This window comes from Homo sapiens, chromosome 4 (assembly GCF_000001405.40).
Source record: "Homo sapiens chromosome 4, GRCh38.p14 Primary Assembly".
Taxonomy (NCBI): domain Eukaryota; kingdom Metazoa; phylum Chordata; class Mammalia; order Primates; family Hominidae; genus Homo; species Homo sapiens.
In genome coordinates this window covers 122879277-122898598 of record NC_000004.12, presented here as the reverse complement: position 1 = coordinate 122898598, position 19322 = coordinate 122879277, and the positions used below count along the sequence as shown (strand labels likewise).

The 19322-nt window shown below is 36.9% G+C and overlaps 2 protein-coding genes and 1 long non-coding RNA gene across 5 annotated transcripts in view; 2 read left to right on the top strand and 1 right to left on the bottom strand.

The window, feature by feature from the left end:
• Positions 1-6022, top strand: part of NUDT6 (nudix hydrolase 6) — a 30392-nt gene extending 24370 nt beyond the window's left edge. For both annotated transcript variants that reach the window (NM_198041.3, NM_007083.5), the window contains exons 4-5: positions 921-975; positions 5374-6022. In NM_198041.3, the coding sequence (NP_932158.1) occupies positions 930-975; positions 5374-5771 (444 nt within the window). In that variant the 5' untranslated portion in view covers positions 921-929 and the 3' untranslated portion in view covers positions 5772-6022. The remainder of the gene's footprint in view (positions 1-920; positions 976-5373) is intronic.
• FGF2 (fibroblast growth factor 2) overlaps positions 363-19322 on the bottom strand; it is a 71555-nt gene continuing 52595 nt past the window's right edge. For both annotated transcript variants that reach the window (NM_002006.6, NM_001361665.2), the window contains exon 3: positions 363-6388. In NM_002006.6, the coding sequence (NP_001997.5) occupies positions 6203-6388 (186 nt within the window). In that variant the 3' untranslated portion in view covers positions 363-6202. The remainder of the gene's footprint in view (positions 6389-19322) is intronic.
• LOC124900773 (uncharacterized) lies at positions 13319-16724 on the top strand. Its single transcript, XR_007058262.1, has 2 exons — positions 13319-14230; positions 15357-16724. It is a non-coding gene; the product is annotated as an uncharacterized LOC124900773 (long non-coding RNA).

Here is a 19322-nt window from a genome sequence, read left to right as displayed (position 1 = left end):
GAAATGACACATTCTTTTAAGAAGCATTCATCCAGGAAATGAGTGTGTCACAAAGCAAACCAGTAAAAGGACCATAACTTATTTTATGAATGAAGAATATAGGGTACTAGCCAAAGGTACAGCTCCCTTATGAGTATGTTATAATTTCTCATTCTTTTCTTTTATCACGTGATGGATAGATAGAACTCTAACAGGAAGAAAAGTAATCATGTCAGCCATAAGAATATTGTCCATGTCATCTCATAATTGTTTTTAATCCATTTTTCTATATTTATCCCTATTCCAAGATCAGATCTTTCCACCTGCCCCTCCCCAACAAAAAAAAAGAAAAAAGAATTCATAGACAAGAAGACACAAAGAAATGGGAGACAAGAAAACACAAACTAATCAATTTTATTCATACTACTCATGAAAAGCAATTACATTTTTACATAAAATCATTAACACATACAATAGAAATAATAAGAGTAATACATCTGATTAGAAATACAATATAGGAAATAGATTTTAAAATAGCATATTTTAGTGATGAAATTTATATTTTCTACTTATTTATAGCAGCATCTGTAAGATTCTTCTATCTGTTCATAGTTAACTAGCAGCAAAATATTTTAAATTACAGAAATTCAGTAGATGTTTCCCTCCAATGTTTCATTCATACAGAATGTATCACGTTAACCAAACAAAACCACTTATATTTCCTGAAGAGAAAAGGTGGGAAAAGATTTCATCAGTTACCAGCTCCCCCAAAAAAAGAAGAAACGAGGGAGAAAGGATGGAAGCTAGAAAAATTTTGCATGCAATTACTAAAAAATATATTCTCAACCACTTTGACCAATTATAGGTGGATTTTGTGAAATCTACATATGTGTGTGTTAGTGAAAGTTATGTTAACTTTATTTTCTGACTTTATACTGCAGTTGAAAAATATGTGGAAGTTTCCAGGAGGCCTGTCAGAGCCTGAAGAAGATATTGGTGTGTATCTTTTATATTTTTAATTGGCTTAAAAATGTTGAGGAAATTAATGTGTTTACTTTCTTGCTTTATAGCTAAGAATAAAAATTTAAATTTTCCAATTTGTTCCGACTGAGTCTGAACATTTCAGAAATTACCTCAGAGCTGATATAATTAGCAGCATAATTTCTAATATTACAGTTTATTCCATTAGTAGAAATAATATCATTAGGAACATACCACCTATTCTTCTGTTTATGACTGCTTCTGGATTAATCTGTCTGAAAATGAGAAGCTTTGGATATACATCAGTAAAGTTTAGCATTAAAGGTTATTTTGGATACGACTAATATTGTTGTTGGAATTAAACTATGAGAAAACAAATTCCTGACCATTCCATCACAGAGGATGAATAGTAGCCTTTAAATGAACTTTGAAATAAATATAATAAAGTCAGTTATAAAGCAGTGATTATATAATTCTTCACTTTATGAAAATTGTATCTACTATTTATTTTTAATAGTCAGGTAGTCAAAACATAGTAAAATGTCATATAAGAAAGTCTCAACTGAGAAATAATCCCCTAACACAACTTACTGAGCTCAGTATTTAAGACAAGGAAATATAAAATAAGCTAAGAATTATTTATGTCACTGATTTACAGGAAATCGAAAAATAGAAACCAAATTTTCCTACCTATTCCTTAAACTATTGGATCAAATTCAATGTGTATCATGACAAATCAATGTATTTGTTTGATACCAATATTATTTCTCCATGACCTTTTCCTTAATATGCATGTCCCCTATTCTATTTAGCCAACAATGATATTAAGGCAATTTTCTAAATTGTCTTTAAATATTTTATTTAAAAATGTCCATGTACTTAAAGCTTGATTTTTAAAACTTTTACACAAATCAAAATACCATACATACATTATATAGCCAACTCGTAACAATCCATCAGAAAATGGATTGCATTAAGATATATCTCTAGCCAATCTTGGTTTCAGGTACTTATTGACCTTTTGCTTAGTTTATGCTTATTCTTCTGTTGATATAAAAGATGATTTTGTAGTGGTGTGAATGCTGAAAGAGAAGGCCATTTGTTCTACAGCCTAATTCTCTCACACTATCCACTGGTGCCACGTGAGAGCAGAGCATGTGAGCTAATTAAGCTTATGTTTTGCAGCCTTACCCAATCTATATTGGGCAAAAAGCAGTCTGCAGGTTTGCAAGGCTTCCTCTCTCCTGCATCTTGCCTTTTCAAATAAATTGATTTTTTTCATGTGAACTCTTATGGGTCCTCTGAATTTCAGCTGTACTTACTTGTAGATGTAATTGAAGAAAAACACATTTCCAAGCCAAATATATATAATTTCAGGCCTAAGTATACTCCAGAATCCTTCTTAAAGTCCAGATGATTAAAAATTCACTACCTTTTTTTCTTTAAAAAAAAAAAAAGTGCTTGTGGTTGTCACAACAACTCACCTACCCAGAGATCATATATGCCTCAGTCATGTGGAATTAAGAAGAAAAAAACTGCCGTTGGCATTAGCCATACTTCCTAAGCTTAGTGTAAATTAAAGCTTTGCCTGAAAATTCATAAAACCCTGAAAGCAGCTAGAAATGAAAACTGACAGTAGAGGTCTGAAAGACTATGTCTATATGAAGGCATTTCTAACTCAACATAAAACAAAAGATATTCTTAATGATGAAGCTGAATCATCTAAGAATTACTGAAATTATTTAAACTCTGTATTTAGGAAAACATGCAATGTACTTTAGGAATACTGCCATCACAAACAGTTAAACATTTATATTGGCTCAAACAGTAAACCCTAGTTAACTGGGAAACACATTTGTTTGAACTCCTTCATTCTTTCATAATACTAGGTAAATGAAGAATTGTTATCCATAGTGTTTTTTAAATATCAAGAGGGTCATATAGAAAATAGAATGCAATCCTCAAGGCTTTTGTATAAAATAATACCCTAAGAGTATAAAGGTATCCACAAGATTAAAATTGACAAACTGCCTTCTTAAAAAATCGTATTACCACTGGCAGGAAGAGTATCTGCTGCATTAGCCAGAGAACTATAAAGCAGCTGAGCCTTATCAGAGATCATCAGTGCACTAGAGTCAGAGGGAAACACCAGGAAAACCCACATTCTGCAGATTATTTCCCATTATATTTTATTTCAATCTAATTCTATTATTAAATATAACAAAATAGAAATAACAAATATAAACTCCATTTCATTATTGTCCTGTAACTAAACAAAACAATACAACATATTTAAACATATCTCTTCATCAGCAAAAATAAAAACAAAACCTCTTAGTTTTTCCTATGTTCTTCAAACCTATAAAACAGCAAATGTTATTTCAGTTTGGCTTACAGTATATTAAAATAATAAAAAATACAACAGAATAAAGCACACTATCTTGATTAAAAATTTCAATTCATCTTGAAATCCTTGGGGAAGAAATATCCATCTTGAGGTGGAAGGGTCTCCCGCATACTCTGGAGACAAAAGCACTTATTTGCCCATTCAATTTTCAGTCAGTTAGTGATTCAAGTTAAACTGATCAAAACTACTCAGGCAGTGCTGATTTTCAGTCAGCTGCTATGGTGACTGCTGAGCAGGGCAGATTTGCTCACTACCCCCATCCAGTGCTTCCACGACATAGAAACAGCATAGATCATGAGCTACATGCCGAACTTTTGATTAGTGGTACTAAGAGCTAAATAGGATCCCCATAATTTATTTTCAAACATAAAGAATAAAAATGGACATTTAAACAAGTTAGGAGATGTTATATCAAATTTAAGACTAGTGCTACTATCTTTAATAATAAATTTAATAACAAACATGTATTTCCCCATAATTATTTTTCAAAGCATAATGAATAAAAATGGACATTTAAACATGTTAGGGGATATTTTATACAATTTAAGACTAGTGCTACCATCTTAAATAATAAATTTAATAACAAATGTATTGCACATCAGAGTAAAAATTACTTTTCTTATTAAGGAAAATTTCTCTTTTTTTGAGACAAAGTCTCACTCTGTTGCCTAGGCTGGACTGCAGTGGCACGATTATGGCTCACTGCAACCTTGACCTCTCAGCCTCAAGTGATCAACCCTCCCACCTCAGCCTCCCAAGTATCTGAGACCACATGTACACGCCACCATGCCTGGCTATTTTTTGTGTTTTTTTGTAGAGACGGGGTTTCACCAGGTTGGTCTTGAACTCCTGGGCTCAAGCGATCCTCCTGCTTTGGCCTCCCAAAGTGCAGGGAATATAGGCATGAGCCACTGCACCCGGCCTAGATTTTTCTTTTATGCTTTCAGTTGTTTCTAACCATGTTTAACCTATGGGCAAATCTCAATTGTAAGGGAAGTCAGCATGTAATTGAAAAATGGCAGACAAATGCCTTATGTTTTAAAACATTATACTCTTTCTATGCATCTTTCCATAGCTATTAGAGGGAAAAAACAAGAGCATATCCAGGGGATGGGTAAGACAGTCTATGGTAAGACAGTCTACAGTCACAGCACATGGGAATTGAGACATGTTTCTGTGACTTCCTCTTCTTTGCATGTTTTTCACCAGTAGAATTACTGCAAGGGCAAATATCATTTACTATTTGACAAACAAGAAAAATAGAGGCAAAACGAGTATTGGAACAAAAATCTTTGTCTGTGACAATTGTGAAGCTTTCCAGCAAAGTGGTAGAGGAAGGCAGCTTTTTAAAGGGCTTCTCCTAAATACTTTGGGAGACAATGACAGAACATCACAAAATTAGAGAAAGCCCAGTTAGAGGGACCATCTGGATGTGTAGAAAAAGCAGCCACAAAAATATGTTAATGGCAATAAAAATCCTGCCACACAAATTTGCATTTAATTGAAAAATCAACCTTATAAAATGTGAAAACCTTTGTTGAATTATAAAATTATTTATATTCCAAGTTTCTTGAAAACTGATCAAACACCTCCAGCATTTCGGTGTTGAAGAAATGAATCTAAGTTCTTTGGAATCTTATCTCAAGAAACAAAGGAACTGCAGCCATGCAAAATGTTTTAACTTTTCAATCTATATTTTTACCTTTTGGGAAAAAGAGCAGCAAGAAGTTAAAAAGAGCTGACCCCAAAAATGTACAGGTAGATAAGCCTCCAAGTAGCAGCCAAAGAAATATTCAGCATTTCAAAAGCTTCTTGAATTTACAGTGGTAAGAAAATATTTTGGGATTTCTTGATATCCACAAGGCAAAGAATTTGTATTGAAAACTTTACTTTGTTAGGGTAATGTTTTGAGCCTTTACATAATGCTACTTTAACTGAAAATCTTTGATGATACAGTTTCTAAAAGTGTAATTATTATTGATTTGTACATCTCTTTTTTTACGTAGGAGACACAGCGGTTCGAGAAGTTTTTGAAGAGACTGGTATAAAATCAGAATTCAGGTCCGTCCTGAGTATTCGGCAACAGCACACAAATCCTGGAGCTTTTGGGAAGTCAGATATGTATATCATCTGCCGCCTAAAGCCATATTCATTCACCATAAATTTTTGCCAGGAAGAATGCTTAAGATGTGAGTGGATGGATCTCAATGACCTGGCGAAGACTGAAAATACAACTCCCATCACCAGCAGAGTTGCTAGGCTGCTGCTGTATGGGTACAGAGAAGGGTTTGACAAAATTGACCTGACTGTGGAAGAACTTCCAGCAGTTTACACAGGACTGTTTTATAAACTCTATCATAAGGAACTGCCAGAGAATTATAAAACTATGAAAGGAATTGATTAAATTCACATTTATATGTTTAGAAACATGTAGACTAACGAATGACATAAGAAATAGTGGACATTTTGGATTGATTAAACATCTGACTGTGATTTTCTAATGTATATGATTTCCATGAAGAAATTTTGTTTCTAAACATGCACATTTTAAAAGCCTCTTTTCGAATAAAGCAAATGCGTGAAAAAGATCATTGCTCTAGGTAAGCTTCACTGGGTAACAGCAGATGCAATATAAAAGGGAGAATATACATTTTACAACTTTTGTTATTTTTCTTTACTGGGACAATGGTTACATATTTTACTACTGGATAAAAAATTGTTTGACCAATTATCCAAACTGAGCTATACACATTTATTTTCTTTTACTCTCATTAACAAATTTCTAAAATATACTTCTTCTTTCATGTGAAATGAGATTAGATGTGGCCATTAAAATCAGCTCTTAGCAGACATTGGAAGAAAAAGTATAGCTTTCTGCCCAGGTCCTGTTTTGGATCCAAGTTTATACTGCCCAGTTCGTTTCAGTGCCACATACCAACTGGTGTATTTCCTTGACCGGTAAGTATTGTAGTTATTAGATTCCAATCGTTCAAAAAAGAAACACTCATCCGTAACACATTTCTGAAAAATAAAGGAAGAATTACCTGTTATTATTATCATTATTATTATTACACTTTTCATATTAAATATTTATGATAGTATAATGCCTATTCTGCTCAACCAGCAGCAGTGATGTTGGGTTCAGCAGGGCAATCAAACTAACAAGATTCAATGGGCCAAAATGTGACACAGACTAGTTCTGAAGAAGGATGCAGGCCAGGAACACAGCATGTCAGCAGGACAGCATCAAGTATGTCTCTTCAGTAGGAGTTCAGAGACAATTCTCCAGCTCCAAAACAGACAGGTCAGGTGTTAAACACAAGGAGGGACATACCCAGTAAGAAGAAATATGCTATGGGAAGCCCAAAGCTATAGCTCCCAGCAGTATTTATGATCCATCCACACTCTTCCCAGTCCCAAGGTAGGTTACCAATCAGGGATCATTTTTACTTTTATCAGAAGCAGCAGTAGAAGGCTAACCCATTGTAATCTTTCCATACAGAAGGAGGTTTGTTAATACTTTACTCACAAGAAGAGTTAATTCCCCAAATTTTAACAAAAAGTTTTAAGTGGCTAATGTTTTTTAAGGCATAATAATGAATAGTTTATTGTACAGAAAATAGCTATTGGTATATAATGCCAAAAATAATATTGGAACATTATATTACATATGATTAACAATCTCCAAACACTGTTAGACAATGAGGAATAAGTAAGTATCATACTGATTTCTGGCAGTCTCTTTCAGGAGGGAGGGACTTTGCCTTTTAATTTCAATTCAACTATTTATCAAAAAAAAAAAAAAAAGGATAGCTGGCTTTCAAAAAGACCTGGAAATAATACTCCAAGTAATGGAATTTAATAGCTACCACATTATTTAAGATAAATGTTCGGCCGGGCGCGGTGGCTCACGCCTGTAATCCTAGCACTTTGGGAGGCCGAGACGGGCGGATCACGAGGTCAGGAGATCGAGACCATCTTGGCTAACACGGTGAAACCCCGTTTCTACTAAAAATACAAAAAATTAGCCGGGCGTGTTGGCGGGCGCCTGTAGTCCCAGCTACTTGGGAGGCTGAGGCAGGAGAATGGCATGAACCTGGGAGGCGGAGCTTGCAGTGAGCCGAGATCGCGCCACTGCACTCCAACCTGGGAGACACAGCGAGACTCCGTCTCAAAAAAACAAAACAAAACAAAACAAAAAAAAAAAAAAGATAAATTGTTCAAAAAGCAACTTCACAGGGTAGCACTGAAGATACTTACTGACCTCAAAGGGGAAAAATTAATTTATTCACTTCAAAAGGAAAAATCATTTTTACATTATAATTATGTGTATATATATCAATCGAATGATAAACTTATATAGAAAACACATGTAAATTTTATCTAAACACATAAATATAAGATGTATACAGAGACATAAATATATGGTTTTGTATTAATACCACATTCCAGTTTATTTCTATATACTCATATCTAGGAAACTTCAGGTTTGGAAAAGCCCACATTAAAAAGACTTGAACCTTTTCCCAGATTCCTTGGTTCTAAGATAAGGCAAACAATGGCACAAACTGTGACAAAAACATAAATTAATTGGCAAAACAAGGAAAAGAGCTGGCATAATAACAAAAATGTAAAGTAAAGCCTGGGAAAGAACTAAAAGTGACTAATGTGTCTCAGCCATCTAAAGTAAGGGTGTGGTATTAGATCCTGTAATCTTCTAGAGATAAGAATTTTACTGGATATTTACTTGGTTTTAATATTTTGACCACTGTTAAATGGATTTTTAAAAACTGAAATACAAACTTAACTAATTTGCCTATTATGTAATACGTTACTCATAAAGAAACTCAATTCTTCATGATGCAAATAAATCACAGCCTTACAGAGAAGCACACATTGACAGGACCCAGCTATATGAAACACAGGACTGTCTTGTGCTGTTCATAAAGATTCAAATGTGATAAGAGTGAAACACCTAAACTTAGAGTAATATAGACCAATATATTCCAAATCCAATACTTTTACTCTACCTCTAGTGAAATTTAGTACCCCTCTCGTGTGAACTGAAGTTAACCTGTTACTTTATTCTGTCATCTTCATTGCCACTGATAAAAGAAAAAAAAATCTTCCCTTTTCTCTATTCCAGGTTTATGATCAAGAATAGAAGCAGAAGGGAAACAAAGAGTGAAAGGAAAATTCATAGTAACCATAAAGACAACATGAAAGGTCACCATGGAACTTCATAGACTGATTCCCCAGAGGTAAATTTAAACAACAGCATTTAGTCATATGTTCATTTGTTGGTGTTCTATCAGCTTCCCGGATGCCCCACCTTGCTAGCTGGCACTCCCTACAATGCTTGGCATACTAGAATACTAACTATTCCAATAACATTTGCCTTTTCAGCCAGTTCCTAATATTTCAGAGAAAAGAAACAGTACCAGGGACTAAGTGGATACATGATAGAACCCACAGCTTATTAATTAATTAATTTACTTATTTATTTATTACAAAAGTTATTTCTACTTTTGAAAAAAAACAGTGGAGGGAAGGAAACTTACATCTGTGCTGAATGTTCAGCAATGCAAATTTACTAAACAACTGTTTTGCTCTTGAAAACAAACTGCATTTTTTTAAAAAAATGAGTAGTAGGGCCAAAATTTAGTGGTCAAGAAAAGTAGATGTCTAACAGAGCAACATATGTACAATTTTCAATTGTCTCCATTCTGAGTTTCCAAGTCATCTTCAGTGACTGTGATCTCAGTGTGCCTATTAAAAACTGGTGCATTATAATTTTATTAATCTTTATAAACATATTTAAAGAACTGTTTTCCTATTATCAGTGTTTGCTCACCATTTCAAACTTCGGATAAAAAGGGGTCTTCAGAGGAATGCCACCACAAAGAAAGTGGCTTCTAAGGGCTTATAACAACTTGTACCTTGTTTCCAAAGCCTTATTTTATATAGGCCTAAGAGCTGAGAAATCCCTTAATGCATGATTATTGACTGCTTTTATGCATATACTTTAAAAGTCACAACAATATTTTAACATTATTATACTCATTAACAAATGAGGAATTTAAAACTCAGTGCTTTTGGTAACATTTCAGATTTTGGATACCTTTTGCCCTTACATCTACTTGATACCTTTATATCAAATTAAGTTTTTGTTTATGTGTTGCTTTTTTAAAATTGAAGAATAATTTAGAGGTACAGGAAGCATAGAGTTTAAATAATACACTTACTCATTCAATCTATATATTTTTTTCTTCTAGGCATCTAAGACACATCAATGAACAAAACTGAACAAGATCCCTGCCTTTATGCCACTCAAATTCTAGCTGGGGGAGACACACAATAAGCAATAAGCTTAAGTGAATAAATTATATTCTATGTTAGAATATAAGAAAACTTAGAAAAATGTAAACCTGAACAGGGTAAGAGGGACTAGGAATGGTGAGTGGTAGAAGCTAGGTGCAATATTAAATAGCATGGTCACAGTAGGCTCCATTGAGAAAGTGACATTTGAGCAAATGCTTGAAGGAGATGAAGGCGTTAACCATCCAGCTATCAGAGAAGAGCATTCCCATCAGAGGAAAAGCCAGTGCAAAAGCCTTACAACAGGATCATATCCAGAGTATTTGAGGGGTAGCAAGTAGGCCAATGTGGGAAGAGTAGCAGGAAATGAGATCAGAGAGGTAATGGGATGGGAGAGGGGGCAGACCTCATAGTTTTGTAGGCTATTGTAAATATTTGGCTCTTATTCTAAGAAAATGGAGAGCCACTGGAGTCTTTTCAGCAGAAAAATAACATGATCTGACATCTTTTTGTAGGATTATTCTCGCTGCCAAGACTACAGAGGGCCAAAAGCAGACTTAGACCAGTTAAAGGGTTATTCAGTAATACAGGCAGAGAGAATGAAGGTTCAGATCATGGAGGTAGCAGTAGAAATGGTAAGGAGGTGTCTGCTTTTGTACATATTTTGAAGGTAGACTTAATAGGGTTTCCTGATGGATTGGTTGCATGGTATGAGAAAAACAGGGGAATTAAGAATGGCACTGAAGTTTCTGTTCTAGAATGATAAACTTGCCATCAAATGCGGTGGGGAGGGCTATGAGTAGGAACAGATTTTATAGGAAAAGGTTAATAATTCAGTTTTGTATGTGTTGAGTTTGAGAGGAATATCAGACATCCAAATGGAGACAGTATTTACTGAGCACCTACTATGCAACAGACACATCATTTAACTTTTTTCCTTCTTTTTTGCTAATGCTAATAACCACAGAACTAGAAATTAAAAAGTACTAATTTATTTGGAATACCAGGAAGTGTGTTATATACAATAATGCCAGTAAACAAGTATTCTCAGGTCTAAAAGGTATAAACCTAAAAAAGAAATGTAGATGTATACATATGATAGTGATATAAATTTGTCATGTGTTAGTGATGGGGCAACACCTCAAGGTTCCCCTGGAGGCTGTCCACATAAACCAGCTTAGTTTATGGTTCTATAAGAGGGGCCCAATAACCATTTATTGATATTGATAATGATGCTAATAATGTTAAAGATAGTGCTGGCAGTTTGACCCCTTGTAGGGAGTATTTGAATAGAGCAGACTCTAATGTAGCATGAAAAAGCATAATCAACACTTTTAAAAGTTTGTTTTTTGTCTGGATAGTTAATTTACTTTGGAATTTCAAAAAGAAAATAAGGTTATGTGAGATATTTCTACATAATGAAAAACTGATCCCAGGAGATGGCGGGAGCCATGTTTCTCACTGTTGGGGGTGGCAGGTTACACACAAGCAAGTGGGGGGGACTGCTAAAATATTCATTTGTTATTGATGGATTAAGGTTGGAGATATCAGTATGAATGAACTCATATTTAGATGTTTTTGTTTTGTTTTGTTTTGTTTTGAGACAGAGTCTCCCTCTGTCACCCAGGCTGGAGTGCAGTGGCACGATCTAGGCTCACTGCAACCTCTGCCTCCCAGGTTGAAGTGATTCTCCTGCCTCAGCCTCCTGAGTAGCTGGGATTACAGGTGCGCACCACCACACCTGGCTAATTTTTGTATTTTTAGTAAAGACAGGGTTTCACCATGTTGGTCAGGCTGGTCTCGAACTCCTGACGTCGTGGTCCACCCGCCTCAGCCTCCCAAAGTGCTGGGATTACAGATGTGAGCCACCATGCTCTGCCTCATATTAATATTGATACAGATGGCCAAATATAGAAATATTTATAAATACATGTATATACCCAGGCTAGTATGTACCACCATTTCTTGCTCTGTCAGCTTAAGCTTAGAGGGCTTAGAAGCAAAGATACTTCAGTAGCAACAAGCACACCCAGCATTCCAGTTTGTGGTTTCTAATACCATTCTCTAATAAAAGAAACCAATGCTCTTTGGAGAAATGGCTCATTCTAGGGTGGAGTAGGGAATATACAAAATGAGCCTGGAGCATCTTGTAGGCCAAAAAGTAATGAAGTACTTAAAATAAATGCATTGTTGAGAGTATGTCAAAGAGGAGGGCACAGGAGCCAACTGAAAGAGCTCCCAATGGCCAAAGCTGGAACTATTTGAGCAACAAAATAAATAATGTAGTATTGGATTGTAACTCAAAGTATAAAATAAATATCTGTGAATACATATTGATATAAATGATTGAATAAATAAATAAATGGAGGAAAATGAACACATTTCCCAGGCAAAAGAATGACGATTTATGTAGATACTACCCCTCAAGGAGGTGGAGCATAACCATCATCTCCATCTCTTAAGTGTGGACTATGCATGGTGACTTCCTTCCAAACAGTATAGTATGGAAAGGAAGTGAAAGAGTAACTTTACAGTGGACACAAATACTACCTCAGCCAGGTAAGCAAGGATTATATCATGAGTTATCAGTCATGAAGATAACATATACCATTATATGCCACAAAAATGGTACTTTACTTCTATAGTCTTCCTCTCAAACACTCAAATCCCTATCTGGCCATGAAAAAAACATCAGGTCAGGTGCAATGGCTCACACTTGTCATCCCAGCACTTTGGGAGGCCAAGGCAGGAGGATTCTTGAGCCCAGGAGTTCGAGACCAATTTGGGCAATATAGTGAGACCTCATCTCTACTAAAAATAAAAACAAATTAGTAGAGTATGGTGGCATGCATCTGTAGTCCCACCTACTTGGGAGGCCAAGGTAGGAGGATCGCTTGAGCCCAAGAATTCAAGATTGTGGTGATCTATGATCACACCACTGCCCTCCAGCCTGGGAGACAGAGCAAGAACCTGTCTCAAAAAAAAAAAAAAAAAAAAAAAGGAAAAAAAAAATCAAGCAAGTTGAAGGACATTCTAAAAAATACCTCAACAGTACTCCTCAAACTATCAAAGTAATCAAAAATAAGGAAAGTCTAAGAAACTGTCACAGTCTGGAGGAAACTAAGGAGACATGATGACTAAATATGGTATCCTGGAACAGAAAAAGAATATTAGGAAAAACTAAGGAAACATGAATAAAGTATGGACTTTAGCTAATAATAACATATCAGTATGGGTTCATTAGTTGCGACAGGTGCACCAAACTAATGTAGGATGTTAATAAAAGTGAAACTCAGTGTGGAGTATATAGATACTCTCTGTGTCATCTTTATAACTTTTCTGTAAGTCTAATACCATTGTAAAACTAAAATATATTTTTTACAAAACTGACTCTAGGGCTACAAGTACCATCACAAAAAAGGATTTCTCAAGTCACTAGATACAGCAACTCTAGCTATAATGTGAAAAATAAAAGCACCTCATGCATTCCTGTGCTCTACTATGCCCAAATACAGATGATTCATATATACATATCACTTTATTTCACCAGACTGTCAACAGCATGTTTGTGAAGATATTCATCTATTCTGTCTACTGCTGTATCAGTGCTTGGCACATAGTAAGTCATCAATAAGTATTTGCTAAATTAATGAACAAATGGAACTTTTTCAGATAGCTTACAATAAAAATATAATTCAATGACATTTACAAAATCTAAATAAGAACTAGAGAACTAGGACTGGGGAAAATCCAGACTAGGAACTGAAATACAGAATATGGTTTAACTTTATGAACTATTTACTCCCTAAGGAAAATAGACCAGATGACCTTTCCAAGAGTTGACTATCCAAACTTGACATCTGTGAGGATCTCTGAAGGGCCAAGAAACCTAGCTTCTAATATCGCCTTGATCCCTAACTAACTTGTATTTTCAATCAAGTCCTTTAACTTCTCTAGGCATCACTTTCCTCCTCTGTAAAATAAGAAGATTGGATTAGATGGTCTTTAGAATCCCTCCTAATCTCTAGTAGCCTTAGTACACAATAAGGAAAGAAATAAGCACATGAGCCAAGTTCTCCTCACATCCCCCCAGCACCTCCTCTCACCCCAACTCTCCCTTCCTTATGCATCGGCCTCACAATACTAGTCCACTCCTAATTTTAGATTTGAACCTTATGACCATTTCCCCATGCTCTGTTTACTGGGTTGTTTATTCTTTTACAGTACATTGATTTTTCAGTTTTGGCTTTTGAGGGAGCTTGCTCAATAGGAATCCAAAAGTGCTTTTGCTTATACCACTTCTGAGAATTAAAAACAGACATGATGTAAGTATCAATGTTGACTATTTCAGAAAAAAAAGAAACATCCAAATAGTGAAAAGTTAAAATTAAATTTGATCTTTTTATTTTTTATTTTTTTGAGATGGAATCTCACTGTGTCGCCTAGGCTGGAGTGCAGTGGCGTGATCTTGATTCACTGCAATGTCCACCTCCCGGGTCCAAGCAATTCTCCTGCCTCAGCCTCCCAAGTTGGCTGTGATTACAGGTGTGCATCACCATGCCCGGCTAATTTTTGTATTTTTAGTAGAGATGGGGTTTCGCCATGTTGGCCAGGCTTGTCTCAAACTCCTGACCTCAAGTGATCCACCTGCCTTGGCCTCCCAAAGTGCTGGGATTACAGGCATGAGCCATTGTGCCAGGCCTAAATTTGATCTTAAACCTGTAATACCTATAGGTTGCATAACAGTTTTAAGATTGAGTTATAAAAGAACAGTAATTCTCATTATGCAATAACCTTTGTATTTTTTCTAGTATTTTATCTCTTAAAAAGGATATATATTCCTCTTCAATTACTGTATTTTTCTCACAAATTTCATCAGTATAGATTGTCAGTCTGGATAATTGGGCTCTCAGATATCTATTTTCTCTACTTTACTTTATTATAGATTTCATGTCATTGTGAAGGCCCCTCAATTAAGAAAGTTATTCTGTAGGTAAAATGTATTTTACTTTTACAGAAATTACATGTATATCCTCAGAGAATATACATTTTTTCATATTTCACTATTGTGGATCAATGCAAATTACATTCTAATACTGAGATATTAATATTTTGTTCAGGGTATATCATGATCTATATAGCATTATATAGAAAACAATGTGCAACTTTCTGGCAGATGAAGATCAGTAAAGTTTTTTCATACCAATGCTAACATTGAGGTCATTTGGTGATTTAAACTTAAAACTACAATTAACTTCACTTTATGCAATTTTCTTAAAAATCTGTAATTTTGTGAACACTTAAATCATCAATTCTAATATTTGTTCTGGACTTCTGTTGCTCATAGCAACAAAATTTATCCTGCTATGGAATGGAGTAAGAAGTCTGTTGTGCATTAAAGAACTATTTAACTTCAGCTTCCAAATACAGGCTTTGGCAATTAAATATAGTTATTTTTTGAATTTTCCTATTTCCTAGCTTCAAAAGGAAAGGAAAGACCCTTAAGAAATGTTTTCAAACAACACAAAATCGGTAACCTGAAAACATGCATACCATTAATATGTGAAGGTGTTGGGGAAAAAACGGTATACAAATTAGTCTTTTTTCATACTCTAATTGGTAATCAACCTAACATAACTCTTAAAAACCAAAATGTTTTTTGTATCCACAGCACTCTTCTTTCTGGGAGGAAACTAGACTGCTTTAGAAATCACTGCAGGAATCACAGAGTAAAATGGAGAAGAACCCAGGGATGTGTCATAACACAGTAGTCTGAAAAAGGGCCAGGTAGAAGAGTGGGAAGGACTATGCCTCTGGCAAGTGCAAGTTCATAAATTCCAGTTTCTTCAAGTTACGAGGCACATCTGCATCCCCAGATGATGGCTACTGGTCAGAACACTGAACTCATACCAAAAGCTGCTGTTGTTGACAGTTTAATGTCTATGGATCTGACTCGGAGAGAAATGTGCCACTTACTGAATCACCAACACCATATCTTTGGTGTTGAGGTGGGGCACGCTTACTTTTTCATCTGAAGATTGACACAGCCCACCAAGAACATTTGAAAGAGACAGGATTGCTGCTGAAAAGGCATGACATCAAGCCACACAAATTGGATGGTAAGACTAGAGATTAACTTGTGAACAGGTCGTATGACGAGAGCTGAAACGTACAACTGGATCTTGGTCATGCCATTCCTCAAAGGAGACTAAGAAATCCTGAATTTTTAATTTATGCTTAATAGCCATGGCTTTGTCTCTACAGAGTGTTTGTGATACATTTCTAAGCATTGGTAAATTAATTCTTACTGCACCAACTTGGTGGAAATCTGTTCCATCAGAAAGAGTTAATACATCCAAAGAGATAGAAACACATTTAAGACTAACTTTCACAAGTTCCTGCTTAGCTAAGAATGAAACTAGAAAACTTTATTTTGAGTATTTTACATTTCTGATGGTACAGAATCAACAGTTTGGGAAGCTTAATACCTATTTGCCAAGAGAAAAAGTCAGAATTCTCTTTTCAGGTCTACATTCTTTTAACTTGTCTCATCTTTTTATGTACCCTAGTAGTTTCAGAGATACACTTGAAGATAGAGCAATTTCTGTTTTCATCACTTTTAACAACAATGGGTCTTTTTATCATTGTCAATGAATCAATATTCAGCCAGTGCTCCTGAGGAGATGAAAAATTCCACCGGCAATTATCTTACAGAGTCACCATGATTACTAGGTTATATGGTTTGGCTGTGCCCCCACCCAAATCTCATCTTGAATTCCCATGTGTTGCGGGAGGGACCCAGTGGGAGGTAACTGAATCATGGAGACAAGTCTTTCTTGTGCTGTTCTTATGATAGTGAATAAGTCTCATGAGATCTTATGGTTTTATAAAGAAGAGTCCCCCTGCACAAGCTCTCTCTCTCTTTGCCTGCTGCCATCTATTTAAGATGTGACTTGCTCTTCCTTGCCTTCCGCCGTGATTGTGAGGCTTCCCCAGCCATGTGGAACTGTAAGTCCAATTAAACCTCTTCTTTTGTAAATTGCCTAGTCTTGGGTATGTCTTTTATCAGCAGCATGAAAATGGACTAATACAGTAAATTGGTACTAGGAATGGGGTGCTGCTGAAAGATACCCAAAAACGTGGAAGTGACTTTGGAACTGGTTAACAGGCAAAGGTTGGAATAGGTTGGAGAGCTCAGAAGATGACAGGAAAATGTGGGAAAGTTTGGAACTCCTTAGAGATTTGTTGAATGCCTCTGACCAAAATGCTGATAATGATATGGACAATGAAATCCAGGCTGAGGAGGTCTCAAATGGAGATGAGGAACTTGTTGGGAACTGAGCAAAGGTGAGTCTTGTTATGTTTTAGCAAAGAGACTGGTGGCATTTTGCCCCTGCCCTAGAGATTTGTGGAACTTTGAACTTGAGAGATATGATTTAGGGTATCTGGCGGAAGAAATGTTTAAGCAGCAAAGCATTCAAAATGTGATTTGGGTGCTGTTAAAGGCATTCAGTTTTATAAGGGAAGGAGAGCATAAAAGTTTGGAAAATTTGCAGCCTGACCATGGAATAGAAAAGAAAATCCCATTTTCTGAGGAAAAATTCAAGTGGGCTGCAGAAATTTGTGTAAGTAATGGGGAGCCAGATGTTAATCACCAAGACAATGAGGAAAATGTCTCTGGGGAATGTCAGAGACCTTTGCAGCAGTCCTTCCCATCACAGGCCCAGAGGTTTACAAGGAAAAAATGGTTTCATGAGCTGGGCTCAGGGTCCCTCTGCTATGTACAGTCTAGGGACTTGGTGCCTTGCTTCCCAGCTGCTCCAGCTGTGACTAAAAGGGGCCAAGGTACAGCTCAGGCTGTTGCTTCAGAGGGTGCAAGCATCAAGCCTTGGCAGCTTCCACATGGTGTTGAGCCTGAGGGTGCACAGAAGTCAAGAATTGAGGTTTAGGAACCTCCGCTAGATTTCAGATGTATGGAAATGCCTGGATGCCCAGGCAGAAGTTTGCGCAGGGTTGGGGCCCTCATGGAGAACCTCTGCTAGGGCAGTGCAGAAGGGAAATGTGGGGTCAGAGCCCCCACACAGAGTCCCTATTGCAGCACCACCTAGTGGAGCTGTGAGAAGAGGGCCACCATCCTCCAGACCCCAGAATGGTAGATCTACTGAGAGCTTGCACCATGCACCTAGAAAAGCCACAGACACTCAATGCCAGCCTGTGAAGGCAGCTGAGAGGGAGGCTGTACCCTGCAAAGCCACAGGGGCAGAGCTGCTCAATATGATGGGAACCCAGCTCTTGCATCAGCATGACCTGGATGAGAGACATGGAGTCAGAGGAGATCATTTTGGAGCTTTAAGATTTGACTGCTGGGCCAGGTGCAGTGGCTCACGCCTGTAATCCCAGCACTTTGGGAGGCCAAGGGGGGAAGATCACGAGGTTGGGAGATCAAGACCACCCTGGCTAACATGGTGAAACCCTGCCTCTACTAAAAAAATGCAAAAAATTAGCCGGGCATGGTGGCGGGTGCCTATAGTCTCAGCTGCTCGGGAGGCTGAGGCAGGAGAATGGCGTGAACCCGGGAGGTGGAGCTTGCAGTGAGCCGAGATCATGCCACTGCACTCCAGCCTGGGCAACAGAGCGAGACTCCATCTCAAAAAAAAAAAAAAAAAAAGATTTGACTGCCTCACTGGATTTCAGACTTGCATAGGGCCTGTAGCCCCTTCATTTGGGCCAATTTCTCCCATCTGCGATGGCTGTATTAGCCCAATGCCTGTACCCACATTGTATCTGGGAAGTAACTAACTTGCTTTTGATTTTACAGGCTCATAGGCAGAAGGGACTTGCCTTGTCTCAGATGAGATGTTGGACTGTGGACTTTTGAGTTAATGCTGAAATGAGTTACGACTTTGGGAGACTGTTGGGAAGGCATGATTGGTTTTGAAATGTGAGGACATGAGATTTTGGAGGGGCCAGGGGTGGAATGATATGGTTTGGCTGTGTCCCCACCTAAATTTCATCTTGAATTTCCATGTGTTATGGGAAGGACCCAGTGGGAGGTAATTGAATCATGGGGACAAGTCTTTCCCATGCTGTTCTTGTGATAGTAAGTCTCACAAGATCTGATGGTTTTATAAAGAGGCCTTCCCCTGCACAAGCTCTCTCTGCCTACTGCCATCCATTTAAGATGTGACTTGCTCTTCCTTGCCTTCCGCCATGATTGTGAGGCTTCCCCAGCCATGTGGAACTGTAAGTCCAATTAAACCTCTTTCTTTTGTAAATTGCCCAGTCTCTGGTATGTCTTTATCGGCAGCATGAAAATGGACTAATGCACTAGGTTACTGCATCTTCTAATCTCAACAACACCACAGGGTAACAACTAATCTCAAGGCATTCACTGACCCAGATTATGGCAGACATATAAAAGGCTGGAGCTTTAAAACCATTTTATTAGTGCTGTCCATAGTTAGTTATAACAGGAGCAAATGTTGTGTGCAACTCCTTTTTTTTCCTCTACCACCCTCACTGTCTGACAGTAGCCAAACCAATTCTACTGCAGAAGCATAGTGATTTGTCACATCCTAAAGTGAAAGGGGCAGGAGGGTTGGAAACTCATCTTCCTCTCACTAATAAAATGTCAGTC